Here is a 13,278-nt window from a genome sequence, read left to right on the forward strand (position 1 = left end):
GTAATTTGTGCCCTTGAGAAACTTCACGTCCTCTAAGATTCAAATTTATTGAAATGTAGTTATTCGTGTTGTTTTTTAAAAATTATCTATTGGATGCATAGTAATGTCCCTTCCTCCAAGCTAATTTTTGATGTCTCTACTTAGTAGATTATCAATTTTTGTCAAAGAACAAGCTTTTTTGTTTATATTCATGTTTCCCTGTTGCTTTTGTCCATTTAGTATTTCATTGTTTTCGGCACTATAATTACCTACTTACTCTTCATTAGTTTTAATTTTCTCTTTTTCTTCTAATTTCTTAAGGTGAAATCTTATATCACTGATTTTGTGCCTTTCTTATGTATGAATATATGCATCCAAAGTTCTAAATTTCCCTCTAACACTGTTTTCTCGGCATCCCTCAACCTTTAGCATGTTGATTCATTCACTGTCATTGAATTTAAAATATTTTCTAATTTTATTTGTAACTTTTTTCATGAGCTCATGGGTTATTTGGAAGTATATAGTAAGGATGTTATAGGAAAATCAGCTTGAGTATTTCTCACAAATATGAAGTTGGTTTAATATTAAAAAATCAGTGTAATATACCATTATCAGTAAAATAATAAAGCATGTTAATCTCTACAAATGAAAAGTATTCACAAAATTCAACATCCATTCATGATGAAAAATTATCAGAACATGAGGAATAGAAAGGAATTTGTGTAACTTTATAAAGGACCTCTTCCAAGAAACTGAATCTATCCTCCTAATGGTAGAAGAATATTTTCTCCCCTAAGATGAGAACAAGGCAGGAATGTCCACTATTACTTCTTTCCTGTATTGTACTGGAGGTCCTGCCAGAGTTAGATGCACTGGGCAATGAAGAAATACAAAAATAAAGGTATAAATTTGAAAGGAAGAAGAAACATTGTTAGGTGACAGTTATGTACATGGAAAAGCCTGAGAATCTACCAAAATGCTACCAGAACTCATATTTCTATGTATTACCAATGAACAATTGGAAATTACAATTTAAAAATAAATGCCAGATATTTTAAATTTTATTTTAAGTTCAAGGGTACATGTGCAGTATGTGCAGGTTTGTTACATAGGCAAATGTGTATCATGGGGATTTGCTGTGCAGATTATTTCATCACCCAGGTATGAAGCCTGGTACCCGTTAGTTATTTTTCCTGATCCTCTCCCACCTCCTACCTTCCACCCTCCAATAGGCCCCATTGTGTGTTGTTCCCCTCTATGTGTCTGTGTGTTCTCGTCATTTAGCTCCCGCATAAGTGAGAACATGCTGTATGGTTTTCTGTTCCTGCATTACTTTGCTAAGGATAATGGCCTCCAGCTTCATCCATGTCCCTGCAAAGGACATGATCTCATTCTTTTTTATGGCTGCATTGTATTCCATGCTGTATATATACCATATTTTCTTTATCCAGTCTATCATTGATGGGCATTTAGGCTGATTCCATGTCTTTGACATTGTGAATAGTGCTGCAGTGAACAAACATGTGCCTGTGTCTTTATAATAAAATGATTTCTATTCCTTTGGGCACATACCCAATAATGGGGTTGCTGGGTCAATGGCATAAATACCATTTTCAATTTTATTTTATTTTTTATGTTTATATTTTTTGAGACAGAATCTCACTCTGTCACCCAGGCTGGAGTGCAGCAGCGCACTCTCGGCTCACTGCAAGCTCCGCCTCCCGGGTTCATGCCATTCTCCTGCCTCAGCCTCCCGAGCAGCTGGGACTACAGGCACCCGCCACCACACCCGGCTAATTTTTTGTATTTTTAGTAGAGACGGGGTTTTACCGTGTCAGCCAGGATGGTCTCGATCTCCTGACCTCGTGATCCACCCGCCTTGGCCTCCCAAAGTGATGGGATTACAGGCGTGAGCCACTGTGCCAGGCCAAATACCATTTTCAATTTTATAAAAAAATAAATATTTAGGGATATGTCTGGAATAAATGTGCAAGATGTAGCATAGAGATAGAGATGCAGATCAATGGTACAGAATAGAGAATACAGAGGGAAACCTAAAAAATATGGTCAATTGAGTTTCTGTTGCTCTACATCCTCGCCAGCATTTGGTGCTGTCAGTGTTTTGGTTGTAACCATTTAGATATGCAATGCTATTTTGTTTTAATTTGCACGCAGTATCCAGTTGCTTCAGCATCCTTTGTTAAAAAGGCTATCATTATTTTCCCTTTGCATTATCCAGGTGCCTTTGTTGAAAATCAAGTAGCCATGATTATAGTGGTTTATTTTTACACTCTGTATTGTTTTCATTGATCTATATGTCTATCCTTATGCAAATATCAGACTGCTTTAATTACCATAGCTTTATAGTAAGCTTTGGAATCAGGCAGCATAATTCTTCTAATTATGCTTTTTCTTGAAATTGTTTTTTGACAGTTCTAGGGGATTTTTGTTTGTTCGTTTGTTCATTTTTGCTTTTCCATAAAAATTTTAGGATTGGATTGTCAACTTCTTTAAAAGCTTGGTAGAATTTTGATAGGAATTGCACTGAATCTATAGATTAATTGCTGTCTTAACACTATTGAATCTTCTGGGCATAGATATTTCTGCATTTGTTTAGAATGTAAGCATGTATGTATTTTTTCTCAGCTCTTTAAGTTTCCAGTGTTCAGATTTTTACACTTGTTTTATTAAATTTATTTCTAAGTATTTTATTATTCTTAAATGGGATTTTCTTAATTTTATTATCAGATGTTTTGTTACTAAAATAAAGAAATAAATTGAGTTTTTATAATCTTGTAATCTGTGACATTGCTAAAATTATGCATTAGTTCTATAATTTTATAATTCCCTAAGATTTTCTATATACAATAATGTTTTCTATGAATAATGACTTTCATTTATTACTTAACATTATTTCAAAGAAACAACTATAATATTTTTAAATTTCTTTTTAAAAAGTGTATTCAGAAATCTTTTACGAATAGCATTTTACATTCGCCACATATAAACTGCATATTTCCTTTCAACATCTTAATTAATATGGTTCCATTAACTGAAACCTGGCCCTTAACAGGTTATCCATAGGGACACGGGAGTACTTACTGTGCCATCCAGAGGTTACTTCCTGCAGGATTATAGAAGCTGTTCAGTTTCTGTTAATTCCTGAAATTCACTAGCCTGTGTGAGTCTCCCAAGCTGTCAATAGTGATCATATGGATGACTAGCAAAACCTTGAACATACTGTAGGCAACAGTAGCTACTCAAGTATTAGTTGAATGAGTTTATTTCTGACTCCTCCTCATCCTCACATCAGTTTGTCTTCCTAAAGGGACATTAAAGAAGAGGCATAAAGTTCAAACTTGAAAGTACAAACTTGATTAAGGCTCAAGCTCAAACTTGATTAAGGCTTTCATCTCTCTGCAGTTGGGATAGGTAGATATAAAACCTTTTACTACATCTTAGACTCATCTACTGTGAATTAGGTTCATTTACATACAAACACATACACACACACACAAGAAAAAACTCAATGTAAACATAAATGAAAATTCTTTTAAGCACCATTTCCAGGGGAAAATAATGGGAACAAAAAATTATTTTCCTGTAAATCCTTTAATCCTTTCTTTAGAAAAAGTCACATTCCTTTTTTTTCTACTTCTGTCCTAATTTCTGAAGTTCCTCTGAGAATGGATTGTATAATCTGAAAGCGTTTTAGACACATGCATTATGTCTCTCTTTTTGAATGCCTAAGATACTGGAGGAATTTAATAATTACCTTTTATCTTAAAGATAAAATATGGCTTCATTTCCTAAAAGTCAAAGGACTGTCTTGTGGTGTCCAATTCTGAGCTCAGATCAGTCATCTCAGTCAGCTTGAGCTATTATTACTCTTAGTCTAAAAATTATTTTTGTTCCCCTATATATAGCCCCCCTCACTTCTTCCTTAAGAGACTGAGAATTTTTCAAGCCCACTCATATCAATGTGATATCGTAGATTCGATTAAATGTGATGTTCACTGTTTTTTGTATTGAAAAGGCATGACTCCTCATGTACAAGATGATTCTACATTTTTGAATTCCAAAATAAATTTGTTTCAATGTTGTATAAGATTGAAGATGTCCACCCTGATGTTTTTCCAAACAAACTATAAATGGTCTTAATATGACTGCCTATTAAATTATATTTTTAAAAAGTAGATCCTATTGTTTTTTCATATTTTAAAAGTCAATGTTCACTGATTTTCTGATAAGCTATACTTCATATATGTTCTTTTATATAACCACTGTATATTCAAATTGGATGCTTGCTATTAGCATGAAGGGCCTCTTTATTAACTGATTTTGTACATTATCTAGTATAAGGAGGAAGCCACAAAGAATACATCATATTTTCCAAATGCAGGTAGAATCTCATATGAGTTTTCACTAGAAAGGAAAATTAAATTTTCTTTTTACAGTTTTTGGCATGGTCCAAATACAGGATACTTTGTGAGACAAGGATCTGGGAAGAAAGAAAGGAATGATGTGTTTATATTATGCTTGTGAGTAAGTCTAGGACTACAGCTTTATCACTGAACTGAGGTCTTGTTGTTCACCAATCAATGTAATAGAAATGGCAGTTAAGAAACAGATATTCATGCCAAAACTAGAGGTTGCATTCAAGCCTGCATTCAGAGAAGTTAAAAGTTCTAAAAACAAAACAAAATAGAAACTAGAGCTAAATTAACCTTGGAGAATTAAAAGTAGACTAAAGACAGAAAGAAATGAAGGCAGATTCTAGAAGGCATATTTTCGGCCTCAAGATTGGCCTAATATGGATGAAAGCCTGAATGTGCTTTCTCCAAAAATAGAGAGGAAAATTCCTTTGTGTGTGAGACCTCAAGTCTTTAAGGAGGTGTAGGATGGAGTTTTATAGACTAAAATTATCAAGTTCAAATGAGCAAGTGTTACATTTTCAAGAAAGAAAGAGCTGGATCATGTCAAGGGCTGAGGTTGGGAAACACATATGAAACCTGGAGGTCACATTAGTTCCAGAGGTGCTGATGTGAGAGACAAAACATGTTAGTGAATGCAAATGACCAGTTTGGATTCATTTATTCAACTTAAGCAGAGAGCAGAATTTCCTCTGGGTCATAGTCTGCTCTTGAAAAGTGTAGAATAGGCTCATTAATCTGATAGTCTATCCTCCAGCAAACATTACTGTCAAAAGGGACAATATTAGTAAATAAAGGAAAGCAATATCTCCTGTTTCCAACCAATGAATGATCTAGGTAATTTCCTCTTATACAATAAATGAAGGATATTAAATGTGTATATACATGTGTGTATATGTGTGTATACATGTATATATATATATGTTTGACCTTCTCCATACATTTAAAAAATTAAATTGTAGTATTTATTGACGCTTTCCTGATCTTTGCTAGAAATAATTGCTCTTTATTATACTTTTGGGAGAATATATCCATGTAACCCTTTTTTGAGAATTGACAATGTAGAATTCTCACAGAACAAAGGATCTCACCAAAAACATGTTTTATTTCACTTTTAGTCTCTGGGTTCTGGTATAATATACGTGCTGAGTTTTAGCACATTTTTAGTAAATTTGCTTTGCTTAAAGCTATTAATTAGAATTACATATAGACAATTAGTCATGCTTTACGTTTTACCTGTAGAGAGAACTGAACACTATTTTAAAATAAGAATAACTGGAGTTGCAAGAAACGGAAACAACCCACAGAGCACTGTCATAGCCAGTTGGCGCTTCATTACATCTTTCCACAATTACTTAGAATTCGCTGGATGAAACATTTGCTACAAATCATTGCTAATGCAGCATCTTAAATAACCTCAAAATGAGCCGGTACATTTCTATTAAACTGCCTTAATGAACAATTTAAGAAGTAAAATACTCCACTATGTTATAATGCATTTTTTTCTCCCTCTTCACATGTTATTTATGTTGTTGATTTTTTTTGTAGTACTAATTTTCACAACTAGGAGAATTGCTGATAATAGAAAAATTTCTCCAGAGAATTCTGGTCATCCCAAGATCCCACTGGCCAGTGCAAGATTTTTGTGGGTGCTTTATACAGTAAACTTTTCTCTCCATTTCAAATGTCTTCAGCATTTTTTTAGGAGGACTGCTGATTGTCTGCTCAATTATAGTAGAGATGTTTAATTCTATTTGCAATGCTCAGTAATTTAAAGAAAGGTGGAAAAGGAGTCATATGAAGAGCCACAGAGCTCAATGATATTTTAGGTTTTGCTGATGTTTTTACGTTTTCTCTTAAAATTATGTTTCCAATGTAATGATCTTTCTAGTTACATAAAATAGAAGAACAAAGCACTCTGGAGGAAGAATGGTGCTACCAGCATGCCTCCTTGGGGTTGGCAGCCTGGCTAGGTAGTTTTGCAGGGTTCTTGGGTAGAGGTAAGCCAGTTGACATAAAGAATCCAGCAAACTTCCAGGAGAGCCCCAGGCCTCTTGCTTGCCTGAAGCAGAAATATGACACCCATACTGAGAAATAATGGGAGATGGCCATGCTCCATCACTGTAGAATATAAAGGTAAAGAAGACCCTCAAATAAACCTGCAATGAATGGGAAGAGCCAAGGCCAGTAGGGGCTTGGCCAACCACAAGATGGGTCATTGTGCTGGTGTGGAAGGGGGTCCACTGTCCGGGAGGGCTGGTTGTGGTTTGGGGACAGGGAAGAAGTGAGTGTCTCAGGATCAGGGCAGTTGCTCATGCCACAACTATTGTGGCCTAGCTTTAAGATGAAGAACTGTGCTCAGCTGAAAGAGCACTTTCAGCAGATAAAAGGACCAAGGACCTTGAATTCCTTCCCCATTTGGTGTGGTGGTGTCTCATTTGGATGAATTCGTCTTACCTTCAGCCATTCCCCGTTCGGTGTGGTGTTGTCTCATTTGGATGAATCCGTCTTACCTTCAGTCATTCCCCGTTTGGTGTGGTGTTGTCTCATTTGGATGAATCTGTCTTACCTTCAGTCATTCCCCATTTGGTGTGGTGTTGTCTCATTTGGATGAATCTATCTTACTTTCAGTCATTCCCTTGATGCTGCAATTGTCTGTGCATAATCCTCTAGCAGGAACATCACTGCAGATGGCTTTTATAAAATGTCAAATAGTGTCTCTAACTTCTAATTTTAGAGCTCCCAGAGAGGGCTAAGCCCCAAAGTAGCTCAGTCTATGTCTGGAGTCCCACTAGGGTCTTGTGAAAAAAGTTCTTACCTAGTATATTCTTACCTAGTATAGTTTGTATATGTTTTGCCTCCAAATCGCACATTGAACTGTGATCCCCTGTGTTGGTGGTAGGGCCTGGTGGGAGGTGTTTGGGTCATGGGGCAGATTCCTCAGAAAGGGCTTGGTGCCGTCCTTGTGACAATGAGTGACTTCTTGCTCTATCAGTTTTCCTGACATTGATTGCTGAAAGCATCCTGGTGCCTCCCTCTTCTCTCTCTCCCTGTGTCTTGCATCCCCTCTTGCTATGTGATGCCTACTCTTCTTCACCTTCCGTCATGATTGGAAACTTCCTGAACCCCTCACCAGAAGCACATTTAACACTGATGACTAGTACCATGCTTCTCAAACATTTTTATAGTGATATTTTCTTGACACTTCTTGCATCACTGGGCTTCTCAAGCCTTTCTTTAAATATGAGTGTTGGCCACAGCTCTATCTTTAGACTCCTAATGTTTTCACTTGGCCACAATGGCCAATTAATTGTTGAAGATTCCAAAATCTATACCTCTAGCTTAGTATATTTTGCTGAAATAAAGACTCTCACACCCACATGTCCCCGGGTCATATTTATGTGCACATGCCACAGGTTGCTCAGATTTAGGACTTCTGGCCCATTTTTGATTCCGTCTCTTCATAGTCACATCCACATGTCCCATCAATATAACCAACTTCCAAAAAGTTCTCTCTCTCCACACTCCCCTTACCTTCACCACTCTTTAAAACAATGGCTAAATCCCACTAACCAATTTTATTACATCTGGTGTGACACCTCCCCTTCACCTTCCCAGCTGCTGACAGACTGACTTTTCTAAAACACAAATCTGTATCAGTCAATTTTCTTCACAGGAAACTCCTGCCTTCTTGAAGTCAGCCTAAATTTGCCCAGACCTCTCCACTGTTATCTCCTTTCACTCCCTCCATATGTATGCTTTCTCCAGCTGAATGGAGTTTCCTGCCACTCTGCAAGTTTTGGCATGATTTCCGCCTCTGTGTGTTCACACAGACCGGTCTTGGTGAACACTTGTTCCTGTTCTCAGGTCCCTTCATCTAACAAGTTCTCAACTTCCTTCAAATTCAGCTCTAGTGTCAAGACCACCTAAAGACTTCTCTGCACGTATCCACCTCTGTTTTTGCCTCCTGTTACGGTGCACCCTGTAAACGGCGCTATCATTACACTATTTCCTCCGGAGAGTGAGGCTGTAGTTTCATGATACTAGTTAACACATAGTACTTCACTTACGCCTCACAAGTAACCTAATAAGAAGAGACACTTACGATTATGCTCCTTTTACAGATCAATAACATGAGAGACAGAAAATTGAAAACAAAAAATTAACTAAGGCCACACACTAAATGGCCTTTGCACCTCACAGACCCTGCGCCCATCACAGACGCCGCGCCCCTCACAGACGCCGCGCCGCACCTCACAGACGCCGCGCCACACCTCAGACCCTGCGCCGCACCTCACAGACCCTGCGCCCTACATCACAGACGCCGCGCCACACCTCACAGACGCCGTGCCACACCTCACAGACCCTGCGCCCCACCTCACAGACGCCGCGCCACACCTCACAGACCCCGCGCCCCACCTCACAGACCCCGCGCCCCACCTCACAGACGCCGCGCCACACCTCACAGACGCCGCGCCACACCTCACAGACGCCGCGCCACACCTCACAGACGCCGTGCCACACCTCACAGACCCTGCGCCGCACCTCACAGACCCTGCGCCCTACGTCACAGACGCCGCGCCACACCTCACAGACGCCGCGCCACACCTCACAGACGCCGCGCCACACCTCACAGACGCCGTGCCACACCTCACAGACCCTGCGCCGCACCTCACAGACGCCGCGCCGCACCTCACAGACGCCGCGCCACACCTCACAGACGCCGCGCCACACCTCACAGACCCTGCGCCGCACCTCACAGACCCTGCGCCCTACGTCACAGACGCCGCGTAGCACCTCACACACCCTGCGCCGCATCTCACAGACGCCGCGCCCCACCTCACAGATTCACAGACGCTGCACCGCACTGCACAGACACTGCATTTTCATAGATACTGCATCGCACTTCACAGATGCTGCATTTTTTCTACACAGTGAAGGTTTATGGCAATTGTGTGTTTAGCAAGTCTATTGGCACAGTTGTTTTTTTTAAAACATGTGCTCACTTTGTTTCTGTGTCGTATTTTGGTAATTCTCTCAATACTTAAAACTTTTTTTGTTATGATTACATCTGTTATGGTGATCTGTGATCAGCGATTTTTGCTGTGGCTTTTCTACTTGTTTTGGGGCACTACGAACCATGCACATATGAAATGGCAAACTTCATTGGTAAATGCTGTGTGTGTTCTGTGTGCTCCAGTGACCGGCATTCCTCGGCCTCCCTCCCTCTCCACAGGCCCTTTTATTCTCTGACACACAATCATATTAAAATTAGGCCGATTAATAACCTCACAATGGCCGCTAAATGTTTAAATAAAAGGAAGAGTTGCACATCTGATTTTAAAATCAAAAGCTAGAAATGATGAAGCTTAGTGAGGAAGGCATGTTGAAAGCTGAAACAGACCAAAAGCTGGGCCTCTTGTACCAAATTGTTAGCCAAGTTGTGAATGGTAAGGAAAAGTTCTTTAAGGAAATTAAAAGTGCTACTCCAATGAACTCATGAATGATAAGAAAGCAAAACATCCTGGCTGGGCACAGTGGCTCACGCCTGTAATCCCGGCACTTTGGGAGACTGAGGCAGGTGGATCACCTGGGGTCAGGAGTTCAAGACCAACCAGCCTGGCCAACATGGTGAAACCCCATCTCTACTGAAAATACAAAAAATAGCTGGGCATGGTGGCAGACACCTGTAGTTCCAACCACTGGGGAGGCTGAGGCAGGAAAATCCCTTGAACCAGGGAGGCAGAGGTTGCAGTGAGCTGAGATCACACCACTGCATTAGAATCTGGGCAACAGAGTGAGATTCCATCTCAAAAAAAAAATAATAACAGAAAGCGAAACATCCTATTGCTGATATGGAGAAAGTCTGAGTGATCTCAGTAGCAGATTAAGCCAGTCACAGTATTGCCATAAGACAAAGCCTAATCCAGAGCAAGGCTCTAATTCTCTTCAATTCTATGACGACTGAGAGAGGTGAGGAATCTGCAGAGGCAAAGTTCCAATGTAGCAGAGGTTGGTTCATGGGGTTTTAGGAAATAAGCAACCTTCACAACAGAAAATGCAAGTTGAACTGGCAGGTGATGATGTAGAAGACGCAGCAAGTTACCCAGAAGATTTGGCTAAGATTATGGTGGAGGATGGCCACACTAAACAAGGTTTTCAGTGTAGATAACTCAAACAGCCTTCTAAAACAGCCCTCTAAAACAGCCTTCTATTGGAAGAAGATACCATCTAGGATTCTCAGAGGTAGGGAGGAAAACTCAATGCCTGACTCAAAGCTGCAAAGGGCAGGCTGACTTTCTTGTTAGGAGTTAATACAGCTGGCAACTTTAAATTGAAGCCATTGCTAATTTACTCTTTCAAAAATCCTAAGGCCCTCATGAATTGTGCTAAATTCTCTATGGATGGTCCCTAAATGAAGCAGCAAAGCCCAAATGACAGCACTCCTGTTTACAGCATGGTTTATTGAATATTTTAAGTCCACTCTTGAGACCTACTTCTCAGAAAAAACATATTTTTCAGAAAACATTACTACTCGTTGACAATGCACCAAGCCACCCAACAGCCCTGATGGCCCAATGGAGATGTATTAGGAGATTAATGTTGTTCTCATGCCTGCTAACACAACATATATTCTGCAGCCCATGGATCAAGGAGTAATTTCAAATTTCAAGTCTTATTATTTAAGAAACGTATTTCATAAGGCTATAGCTGTCATAGATAGTGATTTCTTTGATGGATCTGGGCAAAGTAAATTGAAAACCTTACAGAAAGAATTCACCATTCTAGATGCCATTAAGAACATTTGTGATTCATGGAATCATGGAAGGAGGTCAAAATTTCGGCATTAAAAGGAGTTTAGAAGAAGTTAATTTCAACCCTCATGGATGATTTTGAGGGGTTAAGACTTCTGTGGAGGAAATAATACACTTGTGGTAGAAATAGCAAGAGAATTAGATTTCTAAGTGGAGCCTAAAGATGTGACTGAAATTTGCAATCTCATGAGAAAATTTGAACAGATAAGGAGTTGCTTCTTATAAATGAATAAAGAAAGTGGTTTCTTGAGATGGAATCTCCCCCTGGTGAAGATGCTGTGAACACTGTTGAAATGACAACAAAAGATTTAGAATATTCCACACACTGATTTGATAAAGCAGTGACAAGGTTTGAGAAGATTGCTTCAATTTTGAAGGAAATTCTACAATGGGGAAAATGCTTTCAAATAGCATCGCATGCTACAGAGAAATCATTCAGGAAAGAAGAGTCACCCAGTATGGCAAATTGTATTGTTATCTTATTTTAAGGAATTGCTACAGCCACCCCCACCTTCAGCAACCATCAACTTCATCAGTCAGCAGCCGTCAATAATGAGGAAAGAGTCTCCCTCTGCCAGCAAAAAGATTATGACTCTCTGAAGGCTTAGGTGATGATTAGCACTTTCTAGCAAGAAAGCATTTTTAAATTGACATATGTACTTTTTTTAGACACAATGTTTTGCACACTTCATAGACTACAGTATAATATAGATATGATATTTATATGCATTGAAAAACCAAAAACATTGTGTGACTTGCTTTATTGTGATATTTGTTTACTGCAGTGGTCTGGAACAAGACACAATATCTCTGAGGGATGCATGTATTCTTCCATGGAAAAACTCCTTCAGGATTTTTGGTTTCTGGTTAGAAGGCACATAACATGTATTAGATGACTTTTTCTCTCTTTTGAATAGGCTAACAGGGCCATAATGCTGTCACAATAACCTACTCTTGCAGAAAATGAGAATTGTTCTAAGAAAGTCACTTCTTATTTTCGTGTCTTAACTATTTCAATTGAGAAATGAATGAAGAAAGATTTAGGAGAGAAACATTTTTCTAACATTTTAGAAGAGCTTTGGGGATAGTGGATAATGAAAGAAAGATTTCTAGAACACTAGCAGATTTGAAGATAAAAGTTGCTGGGAGATGCAAAGATGATAAGAATTTTACGCAAACAGCCCATTTAATAGCCATTTACACGAGTGGTCTAATTCTAAGAAGTGCATGAAGAAGTGCTTCGATTTAGCTCTTAACGTCCAAGTGATTATTTCAGGCCTTTAAAAAATACAAACTTGGGTAGAAAACAACAAAACAACTCATAAATATGTCACCTTTGCTAAAAATCAAATTCTGTTTCCTAAATTTAAAATGTAGTATGATTGGTTACTCTGTAAGGAAGCAAACAAAAAGTGCCAAAGAAAGCAGAAATCAGCATGTTTCCTAACAACAGAAATGGAGTTATAGAATCAAAAAAATAAGATCCTGCAGCTCATTCCATTTTCCAAATATTCAATATAGCTTTTAGCTACCAGATAAAATAGGAGTAGGAGATATATGTTTATATATTAAGTATTGTCAAAGAAAATATAGTAATTATAAACATATGTAAAAATATCCTTTGTTTATCATTTTAGTAAAATATTACATTGACCCAAATGTAATATTGCGTGTATGCACGGAAGTGAATTGCATTTTAAAAATCAACATAGATTTTTCCTACTATTCTTTAGGAACTTAATGACTTAGCTTGAATGAAGCTCTGTTTACAGACTATAATATTTTACTCAAATTAAAAGACAGCTTTTTACTTAAATTCTCTTCAATTAAGACCTATTATCAAGTAAATGATCTTTAGTTTTATTTTCTTTCCAATGCATTTTGGTTACCTACATCCATACTCAGGAAAAGGCAAGCTTTCTTATTTTCAAAATACAACCTTTTGTTTTAAAATAATTTAAGACCTAAAATAAGCCACACAAATAATACAGAGTTCCTATGTGTCTTGTACACAAATTCCTCTGGTTACAATTTCTCTCATATCAAACAAA

At 38.4% G+C, this 13,278-nt stretch overlaps 1 long non-coding RNA gene across 5 annotated transcripts in view; it reads right to left on the reverse strand.

Annotated features, from left to right (window-relative positions):
* The window catches only part of LOC101930028 (uncharacterized), a 49,521-nt gene that overhangs the window by 19,009 nt on the left and 17,234 nt on the right, over nt 1–13,278 (reverse strand). For 3 of the 5 annotated variants that reach the window (NR_188360.1, NR_188359.1, NR_188361.1), the window contains exons 1-2: nt 8,518–8,671; nt 3,082–3,301 (exon numbers count right to left, since the gene is read on the reverse strand). This is a non-coding gene — a long non-coding RNA (uncharacterized LOC101930028). Of the gene's footprint in view, nt 1–3,081; nt 3,302–7,245; nt 7,471–8,517; nt 8,672–13,278 lie in introns of those variants that run through there. The other 2 variants (NR_188362.1, NR_188358.1) reach the window with 2 other exon arrangements.

The sequence above is a fragment of the Homo sapiens genome, chromosome 4 (genome assembly GCF_000001405.40).
Source record: "Homo sapiens chromosome 4, GRCh38.p14 Primary Assembly".
Lineage (NCBI taxonomy): Eukaryota > Metazoa > Chordata > Mammalia > Primates > Hominidae > Homo > Homo sapiens.